The following is a 19,172-nucleotide window of genomic DNA, read 5'->3' as shown; positions in this document are numbered from 1 at the left end:
CCTGGTGATGCAAGGAGGAGCAAAAACACTTCGCTCCTCTCAGCCTACTTCTTGGTTCCTTGATTTTCCTCTCCTCCAATGACTTTTGCAACTCTGTTTCATATTAGCAACCCTCGTGAAATGGCCTTGGTTCAGGATTTATTATCTCCGAGAATTTCAAGATGCTTGTCTTCTCAAATTTCTCTAGGGGGAAGTAATGATTGAAGACTGCGGACACTCAAACTGAATGCACGCTTTGCTGTCATCTCAGCTTCCCAGCAACTCCCTTTGGCTTCTTGTTCCTAGTTTGATTCTTAGCCTGCTCCACATAGGCCATCATTCCAATCATGGTCATTAGTCTGACAGAATTTCCCCAGGACTGCTTTGCCGATCCTCAACTCTAAGCACTTTACCATTCTTTTTCTCTGATTTGGTCCCCAAATTCCAGAGACTTTGTATGATTATGTGGACTGAATCCACATCAAGGTCATATCACCCAACCTCTGCAGTGCATATTGATACTTCTTGGCAGTGCTTTGCTTTATTACTAGTGGACTCCTCTCATCACAGTTGGCTGCTCCGACCTTTCTGTTCTTCAGCCCGGTCTTAATCCCCTTTGAGTGGATGACCTCACCAAGAGGCAGACATCATTGAACAGGCATGTCCATAGCTCCTTGTTCTAACAGAGCCTCTCTCCATAGCTACTCATCTCTCCAGCCAACTCATTCTATCCTCTTTGTGTCCTTCTCATCAATAAACTTTTCTAGAATCAAAATGCTTTTGAGCTGGGCACAGTGGATCACACCTGTAATCTCACCACTTTGGGAGGCCAAGGTGGGAGGATCACTTGAGCCTAGGAATTTGAGACCAGCCTGGGCAACATAGTGAGACCTCATCTTTACAAAAGAAGAAACTCTTTCCTCCACTTTTTTTAGTCCCTTGTAATCTGGCTTTATGCCGCACTCCTACAAAACTTTAAGGTTATCAAAGACTTCCTAGTTACTAAGTGTAAAGTTCTTCTAAATTCCATCCTTCTCTATCTTGTAAATCAAGCCCTGCTTGTTGAAATGCTTTCCTTGGCTTCTATGATTATTTCTCACTCTGTTAGCTCCTTTCTCCCCCTTATGTGTATGCTTGGCTGTTGGTTTTCTCCTGGCTCCTGTTCTGTTTGATCCTTGGGTTGAGATCCCTAGGAGCTAAAATCCTTGGGAAACATCCCATTTCTTAGCAGAACATACACAAGATTCTTAATGGCTTGGCCCCTTCCTACCTCTCCATTCTCTTACTTACCATTGCATATAATTGTCCTACACCCCAGCTACGCAGAATTACTGGTTGTTCCCAACAGTCTTGCCTTATTTTCTGCCTGGTACACATTTCCTCCTCCCCATTCCTTGCTGTGTAATACCTATTATCACAGCAAGACTCAGTTCTGAGGCATTACTCCTCTGAGAAGTCTCCCCTTACTCCTGTCTGGGTTATGTACTGTTCTGTGCCCCTTGCTATCATGGCACTGTGCCATCAGTCTATTTACTTGTCTGTCTTTCCCATTAGAGTTCAGGCCCCTTGAGGGCTGGGCTGAGATTTATTCACTTTTTTCACCTAATACAGTGGCTAACACAGGATTAGTACTCAATAACTGCTTTAAAAATGGAGTCAATCATCATCTTTTTACTAAGCAAGTAATCCAACTAACCTCTAGACTTGCATTTCCTATAGCATGCTATCTCTATGCCAGGTTATCATCACCTAGTGCAAGGATAAACTAATTCAATTATCATGGGTTAATACAGGTAATTTTAGGTTTCTTCTTTTTGTTCATCCCGTACTTTATGGGCCTGGTACGCTTCCGCTGCGTGACTCTGCTTGTTTATTCCATACTTTAAAAATCTTTCATGAACAAGTATTATTTTGGTTAAAAGAAAATGATCTATTTAAAAAAGATCTTTTTTTAAAAAGTCAAACATTTTCATACTGTATTACTTAATCCTCATTTGCTTCTAAGGAACAAAAACCCAACTGAAACTACACTAAGCAAAAGGCGAGGGGAGGGGGGCATCTGTACAGATTCTGGTGTATCCAAGGACAGCAAAGAACAGAAATGTGGCAGGTCTTGGTAAATCCTAGGCCCAGGACACTGGATGCCCTGAGATTTCTGTCTCTTCTTTCTTGTCTCCAGCCCATGTAGCAGGTGAGATGACAGGGGACAATGCCTAAGGTTTACTGTATCTTCAGCCATGCAGAGACTTTACTTCTAGCTCCAGAATTCCCAAAGAGCAGATTCCCAACAGTAGCCAGAGGGGATATGTCATGCAGTATGATAAATCCCAGTCACCCTGAGGCCGGGAGGCACATCTTTAAAAATTGGGGGGTAGATGCTGGGGCATGGCAAACAACAGGTATCTGTCTTGGAGTCTTCTCCTGCCCACAAGTTCCTCCAATTATCAAAATGCTTCCCATCATTCAAGCTCAATCTTAAATGCCACTTCCTCTGTAAAAACTCCACTGATCTCCATCCAACCAAGTCTGAACTACTTCTTCTTCCCTCTGTGCTCTTCATTCTACTTTATTTTATAGTAAGTACATGTGACTGTAAACTCACGAGAAAGAAGAATATAGTATTTAATAGAATTAACTCTAGATTTTAAAGTCAGATCTGAATTGAAACTCTTCCACACTAACTAGCTAGGTGACTTTGGGCAACTTATTTAGCTTCTGAGTTAAATTTCCTCATTTATAAGAAAAATGACTGCCAAGTGCAGTGGTTCATGCCTGTAATCCCAGCACTTTGGGAGGCTGAGGCGGGCGGATCACCTGAGGTCGGGAGTTCAAGACCAGCCTGACTAACATGGAGAAATCCCGTCTCTACTAAAAATACAAAATTAGCCAGGCATGGTGGTGCATGCCTGTAATCCCAGCTACACGGGAGGCTGAGGCAGGAGAATCACTTGAACCCGGGAGGCGGAAGTTGTGGTGAGCCGAGGTTGCGCCATTGTACCCCAGCCAGGGCAACAAGAGCGAAACTCCTTCTCAAAAAAAAAGAAAAAAAAAAAAAAAAAAAAAAAGCAAGAAAAATGGTATAAGGAGTTGGGGACAGAGTAGTATCTCATATGTCCTTGGGAGGATGACAGACAATGTTTGGGAATCCCTTGCAGAGTCCTGGAACACAATAGGCTAGGCACTCAAGCATTGCTAGTTTTCTTTCTCCAGGTTTCTCTCTCTAGACTCTGAGTTCCTCAAAGATAAAATCTTCCACTGTGTTTATTAAATACTTCAAAGGTAAGTAGGTCTTCATCAAACATCTCTTGAATGAAATTCCTTTCAGGTGTCTTCCCAGCCAGATTTAGCTGGCTGTATTAACACTTATTAAGAGGTTCTAATTGCTTTGCATGTATCGGCTTAAACTTCATGATAACCCCAGGAGGTAGGCTTTATTGTCTCCATTTTACAGATAAGGAAACAGGTGCAGAAAAACTAAAAAACTTGATGGAAGTCAAATACTATTAAATCAAGAATGAGGCAAGAGCTCTAGGGCCCTCCACTTCTAATAGTTGATTTTTTCCATTCCTTTAATTAAACCTTTCCAAGAGACTTAATAGCCTCCTATGGCTGATGACAATGGTCTTCCTAAGATTTCACCAAAAATACATAGAGTTGCACTTAACCATGAGGGACCTACTTATGCACCATGTTGCAAACTCCACAGGTCCCCAACCAGGAGATTTCAATTTACTGGATGATCCTGGTGTTTTATCTGATAGAACTTCAAGCTGGCTACCAGCATTGCTACACCCAACTAACAACTTGCCTAACTGTCCCACCAGGCAACCATGGGAACTCAAAATTGGCTTTTCACTAGGAAAAGGATGAGGAATCCTAGCCTGCATTATCTCTTTACTTCACTGTTAAGCTTAATAATTTTAATATCAACTTTTATTATATCTCACCAGTCACTATTATCTAGATTGACTGAGCTTGAAATGACTTAGGTAAGTGGAAAATAGAGCGTATGGGAGAGTTCAAGTGATCCCCATACTTGCATGGCAGATGCATTTTTAAGGCATCTTCACCTCAATTTTGTGACAAGGCACAACTATATTATTTCCACTTGACAAATGAAGAAACAGAGATTCACAGAAGTTAAGTGACCCAGCAAAGATGTGCATGAATTTGTGTTATAATGTAGGACCTCTGTCTGGGGCGTTCTCTAATTATATCATGATGTTTTTTGGACACAAAAAGCAGCAGTAGAAATTTTTCCTTGGTCATAGTTTAGGGAATAAATGTATTTTGGGGGTGAAAAAGCAAGGCATTCTTTTCTTTAAAACTAGGTTTAAAAAGGGATGGTCCTTAAATTTCAGGTCTCATAAACACACTCCAGGAAAGACACATAAAAATGTAAAGGAGAAAGAATAGCATCTATTGGGCCAAGAAATAATCTAAGTGTCCTTCAATCTGTGTCCCTCATTGGTAAACTTTTTTGTGGGGGAATGGGTAGTGTTGGGATCATCCCAGCCTTAAGTAGACTGCAAAGGTAGTCATCTTCTCCTGCTGCAGTGTGAGTTCTCATCCCTCCCCCTTTATTACCTCCTCCCACAGTCACGCTTGTATCTTCATCTGAAGTTTAGAAATTGCTGCTTTGGTTGACTGCATGGTACTAACCAAAAAGTGCTGCTGCTGTAATTTCTAAAATTAAAAAGTTTATACACTTAGATTTTGGTAGTTTTTCTCAATTTTTCAAGGTGTACATGTCCTTTGTTTTGATTTAAATTGGCTCCGGTCTCTTCATGCTGCTGTGTTCGAGTCTCTGTATTAGTAATTTCATTCATGTTTGGTGGAGGATATTTGAGAAAAAAATTCTCAGAAGAGTAGCAAACTTTACTGATCCTAAAATCTAGTAGGTGAATAAAGGAAATGACAAATTTTTAATCAAAGTAAGCAATAATGACAGGTTTATTGAAAATTTCCAGTAGAGAAAACCCACTAGTTTTGGAATAAAAGTACTCAATGTACGAGAGCATAAGTGAATACAAAAGATTAACAGAAGGAAAATAAAACCAAACATAGTACAAAAAAATTTAAAAAGTTTGAAATGAATTCAAACTGGGATGTTCTTTAAATCCTCCAAATATTTAACAGAGTTACTAAGTTTGGCAAAAAATTCACTTGAAAATTAAAGCCTATTTCTGTACTGTAAACTCCGTAAAAACTGCTTATTAAATTCAAGCACTCCATATAACTGGTATTGAAACATGTAGGCAATTTCAGAATAGCAGGAATTATTCATTTGCTCTCACAGTTACATGAATTAACCAGCTGCAGAACTGCTTTTTGAAGAGTATGAGAAAAAAGAATGCCGAGAGAGAAAAAAATGATAAAAATCTCTAAAAAATGGAAACACAGCAAAATTCAGGTATCAGTTTGTTTCTTTAAAGCAACAAACTGAATTTTTACAGTATAGTCTACATTTGCAGTTGTCATTTCCCTCTTCCCCCCACCCACCTCAAATACTCCTAAATTCACTAGTCTAATCAATTCTTAACTTCCAAATACTCTGTACATACATATTTAGCAAAAAGCATATGCCTAGCATTATTCTGACAGCAAGTATGGTCAGCATACAATTTTAGAAAGATTATTATGTATATCATCAAGATTAACCTTTACTTAAACGAACAAAACCATCGCTAAACAAATAGTTTTAAAATATTATGAAAACCCATGAAAAGAAGACTCAACATGGGCTCTAAACCTGATAAAACACGTTTCAGAACAACTATTAATGCTAAACTTCTGCCCAACGATGACCTTAAAGTGCCAAACACCAAAGAATCTCTTAGGACCGTTTTCTAATAGACAATTTGTCCCTGGCTTGGCCATCTCTCCTTTAACTGTACACAAAGTCCTGCTAAAAGTCTGAATTTTAGTTGATTTTACAATAGAATGTTACAATGTAAACTAAACAGGTTCTTGATATCAACAGTATGTTACCAAGGTGTGTGTGTTTTTTTTTTTTTTTGTTTAAATTTCTGAATCCAACAGTTGGTCACAGAGGTCAAGTATTATCAAGGCTCCTTTGTCAGTTCTCAATCGTGTCTGACTCATCCATCCTTCAAGTACATGCAAGGCTCAATAGTTTTCCAGAGGCAGATGCCTGGGGCCATTTAAGATACAGATGAAATAGGATTATGAGGTGAACCCATTTGAGTAAGAACTTTATCCAGCCACTGGAGGGGGCCGTGCAGATGTATCTCAATCCAGCAGGGGGTGCTAGTAACATCCTGGCGGTGGTATTCTGCTCCCCAGCCCTAGGAAAAACATACTGGAGGTCATTTAACTTGTTTAACTCAGTGGTTAAACTTATTAAGTAAGAAGAGTTCACATAACCAAAGACTCTGATTAAAGCTATGCATCTTTCCTCCCTGACCCCCCCGCCCCTGGGGAGAAAAAAACACACATGCACAAACGCACGCATAATTTCGCAGGCAATTTCAAGGGATGGATGTTAGCTCCCCAGGGTCCATCCATGGATTCCAATAAGAATTGCTGGTCTTGAGGAATGAAGGTTTTAAAATACATTATAAAGTTATCTTAATAAAGACACTTTAAAACTTTTAATTGCCCATTACTGATAGTAATGTAATAGCTATTATTAAATTCTCATTTTATCATCAAGAAAATAAAACAAAAAAGCTATGCTAGACAGAATGACATTCAATTTCTTCCCTATTCAGCCACTGAAGGTCCCCCTATCAACACACAGCTCTTGATCTTTCAATCTCTGAGCAAAACGGGCAGGAGTACATTCAAGTATCCAAAAAGCTATTATTGACACCTAGCCATTGCCATGAATCAATACATTCTATCATTCATTTGTACAAGAAGGTAGCTTGGCAGAATTAGTGCATTAAGACAATACAGTTCCATAGAATAAAGTCACTATGAAAAAGAGAAAAGTAACTGCTACTGCAAAGATCAAAAACTCATTGGTGAGGGTGGACAATGAATGTGAAGTTCTGATTAATCCTTTAATCACTGTTTCATGAGGAATATCAGAGAAGGTTGGGTTCTATTTATTTCTGCTATCTATCTACTCCCGTAGTTTTAAGAAATACATCTGGGGCCAGGCGCGGTGGCTCACACCTGTAATCCCAGCACTTTGGGAGGCCGAGATGGACAGATCACCTGAGGTCGGGAGTTCGAAACCAGCCTGGCCAAAATGGTGAAACCCCGTCTCTACTAAAACGAGGTGTGGTGGTGTATCCCTGTAATCCCTGCTACTTGGGAGGCTCAGGCATGAGAATCACTTGAATCCAGGAGGCGGAAGTTGTTGTGAGTCAAGATCACGCCACTGCACTCTGGCGTCGGTGACAGAGAGAGACTCTGTCTCAGGCAGGTGATCACTTGGGGTCAGGAGTTTGAGATCAGCCTGGACAACATGGCAAAACTCTGTCTCTACTAAAAATATAGAAATTAGCTGGGTGCGGTGGCCACACGCCTGTAATCCCAGCATGCTTGGGAGGCTGAGGCAGGAGAATTGCTTGAAGCTGGGAGGCAGAGGTTGCAGTGAGCCGAGATCACACCATTGCACTCCAGCCTGGGCGACAGAGCGAGACTGTCTTAAGAAAAAAGAAAAAAAAGAAGAAAAAAGAAAATATATCTGAACATCAGAACTTGTATGAACTACATCTATGTAGATATATATATATCTACATAGATGTATGTACACTCATGCATTTGTAAATATAAACAAACTCCTAAAATTAATTTACAGGCTTATGTGCAGGTTTCCTCCATCAGATAGCAAGATCTTTGAAGGCAGGAATTTATCTTTACCTCCAATATACAGCATAATGACAGAAAGCAGAAGCTCTATAAATATGTGTTCAGCTGAGCTGACTTGGAATTTTCAGACATAGAATTTAAAGTACAAATAATTTATAAAATGTGTTTTATGTTAATATCCAAAAATGATCATTTTAAAAACAGCACAAGATTGGCTATTGTTAGTAAAATGTTCTAATTTCTTTAAAATGTTGAATGGGAGAGGACAAAGTATGCAGTCCTTATAATAAAGAACAGTTTTGTAAAAACAGTGTGCAAATTTTTTGTTGCTAACATATGATAAACAACTTTTCTTTAACATTCAGCAGGATTTTTAAATAATATTTACCTTCAGCTCTCCAAATCCAACTTCCAGGCTAAGTTCATTATATCTTGTATAACTCTCCATTCTAGTGCTTATCAGATTATAATTAAAGATATACTAGGGCATAAGGATCTTGATGATAAGAGACTTTAGGTGCTTTTTCATCTTTGTATTACTTCTCTGAAATAGTGCTAAAATATCTGCTGAATGAATGAAATCTAATAAATTTTGAATGCATAACTTTGCATTATAAATACCTTTTATTAGTGTAAAGGTTGTTTTTACTTGTGTAAAAGTAAATTATTAAAACTCTACAAAAGTAAAATAATTAAAATTGATTGGGTAAACAATAAGAAATGAGTTTGAGCAGAAAGCTAATTGGAACATTAAAGTAATAAATTCTCTTAGAGTGGTCCTTCAATAACAGACTCACTGAGGGACCTCAGTAATAATTACCACAGTTCTCAACTCCATCCACCCCCATTTCAAAGACGATAAACCTGAGAACCAGAGAAGAAATCTGTGCCTTAATCACACAGTTAAAATGGCAGAAAAAACTGGAAACCGCATCTCGACTCTCAAGAGCTGTTCTTTCCTCCATACCAATTAAAACAATAAACAAAAACACTTCTGGCAGGTCACTGTTCTTATTTTAAAAATCATTTGAGCCAAATGCTAAGTCAAAAATTAAACAGCACATGTTAACAATGAATAAGATAGTTCTTTGTAGTCCCATATGTACATAACATATAGGTTAACCTCTTTAAAGGGTAAAAAAATTTTCTTAATACTAACAAGGTACCAGACTCAACTACAAATAACTGTTGAAGTATACTGCAAAAAGCAAACAAGCAAACAAACAAACAAACACACAAAAACAAACACTAAGGGAACACACTGAAAATCTAAGATGCTTTAAATAAGTAGGAAAAGTAACTATATTCAGGAAAAGATATCTTTGATCTAAGGGATGATTAACAAGTAAGGCTCCAAAATTATCCTCAGTAATAAATACATTACAAAACAGGTTTAACAACAAGTTTGGTGAGCTTCTGAAGAGAAGACATAAAAGATAATTGCCTCACTCAAACATATAATTAGTTCTGTTTCTCAAAGTACGAGAGAATGAAATTTATTTTTGAGAATTCAGAGACAGGTCAGTTACTAGAAAAGTCACTGACTCAGAAATCTAATCAGACATTTAAGGTTTTTAAGATTTCAATGGCATCTTAAAAATTTTTATTTCTCAGAGGCAGAACATGAGACAGCAAAAAGATCAATTATTATGAGCAATGTCTTTAACCTCTTCCCTCATCAAACCTTACAATGCAATCTTTGAGCTAAGGCATCTATTTATCTTGGGCAAGGGCCTTATTAACTTCTGAATTGTAAGAAAATCATGAAGCTTACTGAAACCACTAAAAAAAACCTGACCAAACACAATTTCCAATGTGATGAACTTTAATTTTTACAAAAAGATCACTTGCTTACTGTTGAAACAAAAACAAGCATTACCATCATAAAAGTACAAAAAACAAAGAATGAAAAGGAAGGAAGATATGCTTACTCAACTGATCTCGTAAAACAACCATGTATTTAAATTATATGTTAAATATATAACATAACATATTCTACTGGTAATACAATAGCTAAAGCGGTGCTATCTGAATAAGGAAAAGGCTAGTAAAACCTACTGCTATTGATATTTAATACAAGTACTCCTATGTTCCAATGATATTTTCCTAATAATTGAAATTTTTGTTAAAGTTTAAAAATGCCTAGATAATAAGTCAGCTAATATGATAATATGTTATCAAGAGGATATAGATTCATATATCGCCAAAAAAAAAAAAAAAAAGCACAGCAAAAGTATGTTAGGCCCTAAATGGAGGAGTCGGAGCTCACTTACCTTCACAAAGCTCATACGTATAGTACACATTTTTGTAAGCTCATAGACTGTCTCAAATCCATGGTTCACAGACTGTGCCAATAACTGAGCAAATTCTTGGTTGTTAAAAATTTTCAGACTACACCCACTAGGGATCTTGCAAACAGTAGTAGGATGAAATCCATGATGGTAGTTGCAGTTCCGACTTTGCACAAAGATGCTACTGTCACTAAGGCATTCGGCATACACCTCCCCTCCAACATAATAAAGATGAACTCCTATAGGAAGACAAAGCATACCATTTAGTTATTATTAATTTTTACAGCTCAAAGGCACCTGTGCAGCTTCAACACAGAAACTTAAATATACATGGATTTAAACTTTGGCTAGTTAGCTAGCTATTCTCTAGGTCCTGTACAACAGGAGTTCCCAACCCCCGGGGCCATGGACCAGTATCAGTCCGTGGCCTGTTAGAAACCAGGCCACATAGCAGGAGGTGAGTGAGCAAGCATTACAGCCTGAGCTCCACCTCCTGTTAGATCAGCGGCAGCATTAGATTCTCATAGAAGCATGAACCCTATGGTGAACTGTGCATGGGAGGGATCAAGGTTGCGTGCTCCTTATGAGAATCTAATGCCTGATGATCTGAAGTGGAACAGTTTCATCCTGAAACTATCCCTTTCCCATCCCCTGTGGAAAAATTGTCTTCCATGAAACTGGTCCCTGGTGCCAAAAAGACTGGGGATGGCTGATGTATGACTGATAAAAATCTTAGTTAACCGCATTACTTAATACAGTATCTAGGAGGTTTCTAGAAAATAACATAACAAAATGTTTTAAAAATAGTAATAGGCCAGGCACAGTTGTTCACGCCTGTAATCTCAGCACTTTGGGAAGCCATGGTGGACAGGTTGCTTGAGCTCAGTTCAAGACCAGCCTGGGCAGCACGGTGAAACCCCATCTCCACAAAAAAAAAAAAAAATACAAAAAATTAGCCAGGCATAGGGGTGCACACCTGTAGTCCCAGTTACACAGAGGCTGAGGTGGCAGGATTGCTTGAGGCAAGGAGGTTGAGGCTGCAGTGAGCTGTGATTGAGCCACTGCACTCCAGACTGGGTGACAGAGTGAGACCATCTCAAATAACAACAACAACAACAACAACAACAACATGTAGCAATTTCATTTTGGTAAGTGATTAATGTCCTATTTGGCCACACATTGAAAGTATATTTTCACTCTAAAAAGATAGCATAATAAAACCTGGATGCTATGTATTTACTATAAAGCGCTCTTGCATTTATTGTACAGCTAAGATGTTTGGAAAATTTTAGAAAGGGAAGAAAGGAGAAAGAGAAGAGAGGAACTGGAAAGCCACAGGTGGAAGAAGTATTGCCGAAAGCTGTAAGATATAAGATCCAGTAAAAAAACATGAAAATGAAACTAGAAAAGTCATACTGTGTGTGTAAAATTAGATCTCACTGAACTATCACCTGCTCCAAACTTCTTCCTGTGAGACCCAGAGTGCTTAAAGTGTAGGAAATTGGGCCTACCCTGCCTTTAAAAAAAGGAAAGTAGGGGTAAAAAAACCCATTCTCACAAAGCCCCACACCATTATGGAAGATGACTTTATACAGGTCACCCAGCAGCGTTAGATCCCATGTGGGTTTAAATGATCCACCTTGTAGGTAACTCTGGTATGGCTTAGTCAAGGCTATATTGTGTCTCACAGAAAACATTACAAGTTTTGTTTATATGTATACACAGCGGTTAGGATTTCTGTAATAATTAAATAGCTGCTAGAGCAGAAGGCCATTTTTTTGGCCTGATATAGAGAAAACAATTTAAGAGTGTGTGTGCTACTAATTTTTCCTGATGATAAAAATGACAAATTTTCATCCTGAAAAATCAGAAAGTAAATCAAAATATAAAGAAGCAGAAAATATTATCACTCTTTTAGTGACTCAGAGGCAATAATTATTAATAGTTTGATACACTGTATTCAGTTTTGGGTATCATTAAAATGTCTTTGCAAACATTTAAAATATCTCCATGATTGTATGAATGTTTTTTAAATGATTTTCCCATTAGTGGACCACTGGGATGACAGCAATGTTCTGCTTTTATAGTTAATGCCATGATAAATGTCTCTGGACAATTTTTGATAATATCCTTAGGAGAGATTCCTGGAAGTTAAATTACTGGATCGAAGGCTGCTGATTAACTCTGCCAAATGACTTTCCAGAATGCATCAATTTACACTGTCACCAGCAGTGTAGGAATGCTTTTCTCATTTCACCCATGCCAGTACTGAATTTGAGTGTAGAGCAAAAACAAAACGTCCCTAATTTATAGTTGACAAATAATTGTTTAATTTGCCTGTGAGGCTGGATATGCTCTCGTAGTTTATTAGCCATCTGCGTTTCTCTTGTGAATTCACTGTTCACATTTCTTACCTATTTATCTCACTGGGGTCCTATTTGTTTTATTTTTTAATGAACTGTTCATGTAAGAAGGATATACTTTCTTATTTGCTTCCCTGTTAGTCCTTTGTCTTTTAATTTTATTTGTGACATATTTTTAACCTACAGAAGTTTGCAATCTCTTAGTTAAACCTCTTATGGTCTTTTGTTGCTTTTTATGCTTAAAAAATTTCCACCTCTCTGATCAAGCATATTTTCTTCTAGCTTTTTAATTGTTTGACTCTTGAAAAACATTCAACTCATTAATCTGTTTGCATATATGGTATGAGGTCAGGGTTTCTCTTTCCCAGCCTCACCCAAACGCTAACTTGGTTATTGTAGAACCATTAGAAGACTCTACTGATTTGCTATGCTTCATTTAACATACATTATATTTTTATAACAGTATAGTCTGAGTTTAACTCATTCTGTTTTGTCTACACACTGGTTTACTTGTAGTTTTACAATGTTTTATTAACCCTAATGCCGATAATTTTTTCTTTACTTTTCCATTTACAAAGTTAGCTAGCCTCACTTGTTTATCCTTCCAGGTAATATTCAGAATATTCAGAATACATTTTCCAATTTTCAAAAAAATCACATTGTGATTCTGAAAAGAGTTGTTTTAAATTATAAATTAAATTAGATGGAATTAATATGCTTAAAATGTTCTCACAATATTAAGCCTTCCCTTTAAGGAACACAGACTGCCTATTTATTCAAATTTTCTTTCTCTCAGTAAAATTTGGTTTCTTCATGTAATTCTCACATATTGCAGGTTCAGATTATTTCCAAGAAACTGATGTTTTCTGTGGCTATTGGGAAGGGGATATTTCCCCTTTCATTATATTTCTAACTGGTTATTACCAGATTAAAGGAAACTGACTTACATAATTTTTAAAAGATAGATTCTTTGGAGGTTTCTAGATAAATAATCATATCATTTGAATAGGCACAATGCCCAACTATAATACTGGCATGGATGAAGGGAGAAAGGCACTCATATATTTCTGGTAGGAGTGCAAATTCATTTTATGTATGTCTGTATTTATTTATCTCTTTTGTTTTAATTAATTAATTAATTTATTTCAAGACAGAGTCTCTCTCTGTCACCCAGGCTGGAGAGCAGTGGCTTGATCTCAGCTCATTGCAACCTCCGCCTCTCAAATTCAAGTGATAACTTTGCCTCTGTCTCCCGAGTAGCTGGGATTACAGGCGTGTGCCACCACACCTGGCTAATTTCTAATTTTTAGTAGAGACCCGGGTTCCACCATGTTGCCCAGGCTGGTCTCGAACTCCTGACCTCAACTGATCCACCTGCCTTAGCCTCCCAAAGCACTGGAATTACTTTTTGGAAAGTAATTTGGTGAAATATATCAATGGATTTTGATATACTAATTTCACTTCAAGAATCTATCCCGAGAATACTGTCAATCAAACATATCATCTACACATAATGATCATCTTGCCTTATTTCCATTATCTATAATTGTATATTTGAGTACACTACTAAGGGCATCTGGAACAATTTTAAATAACAGCATTCCAAGATTCTTTATTTTCTTAATAATGTTTTAGGAGGAAATGTCCCATAGCACAATTTTTCTTTGCTACTTTGGGATAAGAGTCATCTTTAGAGTTTAACGAAAAGTATGTCTTTCCCTCCCAAATGTATGCAAAATTGTGTTTACATACAATTTCAGAGGTTTACAGACCACAGAAAGATATCTATGTATGTTATGAACCTAGGTTCTAGCATTTCATTATTAAATTTACAGTCAAGAGTTTTTTCCTTTAATTATATAAGAGAATATCTATCAATTCCTAATTTAAGAGTTGGAGTTTTCTTCCCCTCAGGATTAAATGTTACACTTTATCTTGAGTGCTTTTAAAGCATCTAATAAATAACCTTTTAATCTGGTCCACTGTTCTAAATTTCATAGTAGGTCACTGTTTCATACTTTTACTCTGGAAATAATTTCAAATTTGTAGAAAAGTTTGAAAGGGAACAAAGAAAAACAGAACAAAGAACACCCATATAACCATTATCCAGATGCATCTATTGTGACAATTTACTCCATTTGCTTGATCACTTGGGCTCTCCTTCCCCACTGCTGCTGCACACGCACCGTGCATGTGTGTGTCTGTCTGTATGTATGTATTGTAACACAGGTTTTGGATAGACAGATGGTGAGTAGACAGGTATCTTTATACACTAATTTCTTCCTGAACCACTTCCTTAAATACTTAAGTATTTCCTAAGAATAGGGATAGTCTCTTATATAGCCATAGTATAGTTGGCAATGCTAATACATTTAACATTGGTCTAATCTACCATTCATATTCCAGTTTTGCCTGCTGATCTCAATAATGTCCCTTACAGTATTAATATTTTTTCTCCTGTTCAGCACAGGATCATGTCCAGGGTCAGATATTGCATGCAGGTGTCATATCTCTTTAACTGCTTTTAATCTGGAACATTTCCATACCTTTGTCTTTTCACATTGATATTTTGAAAGAATTACTCCCCCTTCTTCACCCTTTTTAATAGAATGTTTCTTGCTTTGAGTCTGTCTGATATTTCCTCAGGATTAGATTCGGATTTGCATTCTCAGCTGGAATCCTGCGTAGGTGATGTTATGGCCTTCTCAGGGTATGACATCTGGAGGTATATGATACCCATCTGTCTCTCATTGGTGATGATAATTTTGATCTCCCAGTCAAAACAGGGCATCAATTATACAATTACAATTAAAATACAAATGATACGGTTTCTCCACTGTTTAGTTAATGCTTTTTATTCTCCCTTGTACTAACAGGCAGTTTGAGGGTAAACACTCTTAAGACCATGCAAATAAACTGATTCTCATAAACATTTTCTTTATATTTAGCATCCATTGATGATTCTTGCCTGATCCTTACTATGATGGTTGCAAAATGATATTCAAACTTTAGCACTGACTCTACATTTATCAACCAGCCTTCCCCATTCACTTATCTATCTATTTATTATGAGTATGGACTTATAAATTTGTATTGTTTTTCAATGGTGTAAAATTCAATACCGTACTGAGGCCAGGCACAGTGGCTCACACACCTGTAATTCCAGAATTTTGGGAGGCCAAGGCAGGCTGATCGTTTGAGGTTAGTTCGAGACCAGCCTAGCCAACAAGGTAAAACTCAGACTGTACTAAATATACAAAAATTAGCCGAGTGTGGTGGTGCACACCTGTAACCTCCCAGCTACTGAGGAGGCTGAGGCACAAGAATCACTTGAACCTGGGAGGTGGAGGTTGCAGTGAGCCAAGATTACACCACTGGACTCCAGCCTGGGTGACACAGGGAGACTCCGTCTCAAAAAAAAATAAAATATAAATAAATAAATAAATAAATAAATAAAATGAAGTAAAATTCATCACTGTAATTATTTTGGAGCTCAAATTGTCTGAGAGTTGGCCAGTGGAAGGCCCTCTAAGTTGGCTCCTGAGGCATGCCCCATGAGTTCCATAAGCACTTCTTTACTTTCTGCCACAACAAGATGCTCCAGGGTCCTCCTATGCCTACCTATCCCAGCCTAGGGGTAAGCCATTTCTTCAAGGAGCCCTAGTTCCTTTTAGTGGGACATGGTATTAGCGATGATGATCTGAACACTAGATGTGCTTATTGCTACTGGGTATGTATGCTTCTGGGCCCTTTCAGCAGGCAGATCAGAAACTATACGCAAGTAAAAACGCATATACATACCCATGCATACACACATACGTAATACATGAGAACATAAACATGCATACATACATACACATATGTATTACTAAAATCAGAATTTTGCACTGATACTTCTATTCTCCTTCACAGGGTTTACTTTTTGCTCCCCTCCGCATTTATATGTCTGTTTTCCACAGTGGAAACCCAAGCTCCCAACAATATCCACACATTTAGTCATTTGCTTCATCTTTACATATGAAAGTTTCAGAATGGTTTCACTCATACTGCTATGAAATAATCAAGTTTACTAAAAAGAGTTCGGGATTTATTTGAAATCCTACCCCTACTCTATCTACTCCACTCAGCCTAGGCTGAGGATATATAGTCACTTACTATATTCATAACTTACTAGGCTTGTTTTTTGGTCTTTATTTTTTCTTATTATAAATATATCCATGCCTGATTTTTTGTTCTTTTGAAGGTGCTGTCTTATATGGACAGTTGTTCAATTTGGTGTCCCTGTGGGGGTACAATCACTGCAGGGTTCTATCGTGCCACCTTGCACGATGTTTGTGCTAAAATCTAGTTCTTTCTTTTCTATTTACTGAGTTATGGTATTCATTTGAAATACAATTAAGCAATTAACTGTAATTTGCTTTTAATTTTAGGTTGTGATTCATTTTATAACAGCCAATTTATTCTGCAGCAAAATATCATACAGAATAGTGTCTTAAAATGGCAAATCATAATTTCAACTAATTAATTTCAATATTATGAGTTGATCGACCACAAAAATCACTGACTGCAAGAGCTTCCAGATAGCAGAAACTGGAAAAATATTTACAAACTGCAGCAAGTGAACATTACCTGGTCTTTGCTACAACAGTTTGTTACAGGAATGATTTTAAGTCAGCTCTGGAGGAACAGGGACACAACAGATAAACATCTGAAAGAGGTTAAAGCAAAAACTCACCTTTTCCAATATGCCGCCTGGTGTTTTCAATAGTGGAATTCCGGTTAACATTGGAGAGCAGCCCAAGGCAGAAACGGTTCTTATTGTTGGAAGGATCAGTGAAACCATCCACCAACACACTTGTGGAGGAGGCATGGAACGCTTCACCCACACGATTGTTGAGCTCATAGTAGACAATAGAGCACCAGTGTTTTGGTTCCTCATAAGCAACCGCCTGAACATCTAGAGGAAAGAAAATGTTATATCAACCAAGGTTAGTGCCTCAGGCTCTCAAAAACTGAAACCGTGTTGTTGAATTGGCTCAGGATCATGGAATGAAGACACTGGAAAAGCAATTGCTATTATAATGTATACAGTTTTTCTATGATGTTTAAAGCAGGTACTTCTTAATATGACACTCTCCTTATTCTCCTAATTGGAGAAAATTGGAGAACAATTTTCTCCAATTACTATCAGATAACCAAAACACCAGCTAAGGAAGCACAGCAAAAACTTTTGCTGAATATTAACAATATGCTAATTGCTCTGTAATATGCAGAAATGGAAATCACCCCTACCACAGACTTTGGCTCACCATCTAAAGAAACACAAGTGACAAGTGAAAAAATAAGTGGGAAGAGAACAATAGAAGACTGAAAATATGCCAAAGGTACTGGCATAAAAATGAATTACTTTTGGCAAAGACTAAGTATGCCTATGCTTATTCAAAGCCATGAAAATCAGTTTCTAATTATTGATAAGAAGTTACTTTACCTCATATTAAGTTGCCAATAACTATCACAGCTACAGTGTTGCTCCAGTTCTCAAACTCAGGAAGAAATCTTGCCAGCTGGCCATTCTTACAGAATGAATCATATCTTTCTCATCCAGATTTCATGCTAACTTCCTTATATTTGCTTTAAGTCATGCAGAGCAGGTGTGTTTTGTCTCTCCATTCCCAGAATGGGCCAACAATGGAAATTACCCAACTTTACTGACAGGATGCAGCTTGTTAAGTCAAATCTCTTAAGACTAACAAATCTCCAAACAGAACATGGTTCTAAACATTTGCAACTAAAAGGTTTTAAAGATGAATTCCTTCTGTAGTAAAACCTCTTGTACCACTCCTTTAGAGATTCCAGGAATACAAACCATATATTTCCAGCATACCAATATATAATGATCTGAGGTTTATGAAGTCTTGGGTGTACAATAATAAAAGGAGGAAAAGAAAGAAAGTCCACATCAGAAGCCCAGACTACAACTGCTAAGGGAGAAGCACCTCTGTGTTCTTAACATCAAATTCCACAAATACTAAAATGCACTTTACTTTAGAATTTGGTAAAAAACAAAACAACAATAACAAACACACACACACACACACACAAAAAAAAAACAAGGAAAATACTCATGAAAAAACCCACACATAAGTTAGTCGCTTTACATATGTAAGTAGTTAGCTAAAAACATACACTATCTTCCCTGCTTGCTAAGCAACTCTACCACATCAATTTGCTATAATTCAAAGAGCAAAACTTTAGTGATTTACAAGTGCCAAATCTTAAAGCAGACTGCAACATTATTAGCAGAAGGCTTTTATCAGCTATCAGGATACTTCAAAATACTATTCATCTAGGTCAGAGGTTGATGAATTTTTTCTGTGAAAGGCCAGCAAGATTTTATGGGCTGTATAATCTTTATCACAACTATCCAATTCTGCCCTTGTAACACAGAAGCAGTCATAGACAATATGTAATGAATGAATACAGCTGTGGTCCAATAATGCTTTATTTACAAAAACAGATAGCAGGCTGAATTGGCCTGTGGGCTGTAGTTTGTTCACCCCTGCTCTAGGAAAATCACCAAAGGTTAAAAACAAGTTAAAAAAAAAGCGGGGGGAAGAAAAAAAATGGCCAACATTCCTTCCTCGTGAAAATATTAACTGACTATAAACTATAAAGGAAAAAAAAATTAAAGCTATTTAAATGAAAAAAATCTTAAAGCAATTTAAAGATCTGTTTCCTGAAATCAGACATTTTG

At 37.3% G+C, this 19,172-nt stretch overlaps 1 protein-coding gene across 14 annotated transcripts in view; it reads right to left on the bottom strand.

The window, feature by feature from the left end:
• SMAD1 (SMAD family member 1) overlaps positions 4,902-19,172 on the bottom strand; it is a 78,407-nt gene continuing 64,136 nt past the window's right edge. For all 14 annotated transcript variants that reach the window (XM_047415690.1, NM_001354812.1, NM_001354813.1 and 11 more), the window contains 3 exons: positions 17,154-17,375; positions 10,038-10,294; positions 4,902-6,287 (listed from right to left, as the gene is read on the bottom strand). In XM_047415690.1, the coding sequence (XP_047271646.1) occupies positions 6,144-6,287; positions 10,038-10,294; positions 17,154-17,375 (623 nt within the window). In that variant the 3' untranslated portion in view covers positions 4,902-6,143. The remainder of the gene's footprint in view (positions 6,288-10,037; positions 10,295-17,153; positions 17,376-19,172) is intronic.

This window comes from Homo sapiens, chromosome 4 (assembly GCF_000001405.40).
Source record: "Homo sapiens chromosome 4, GRCh38.p14 Primary Assembly".
Classification (NCBI taxonomy): Eukaryota; Metazoa; Chordata; class Mammalia; order Primates; family Hominidae; genus Homo; species Homo sapiens.
The sequence above is the reverse complement of the archived record's forward strand: the minus strand, read 5'-3'. Positions and strand labels throughout refer to the sequence as shown.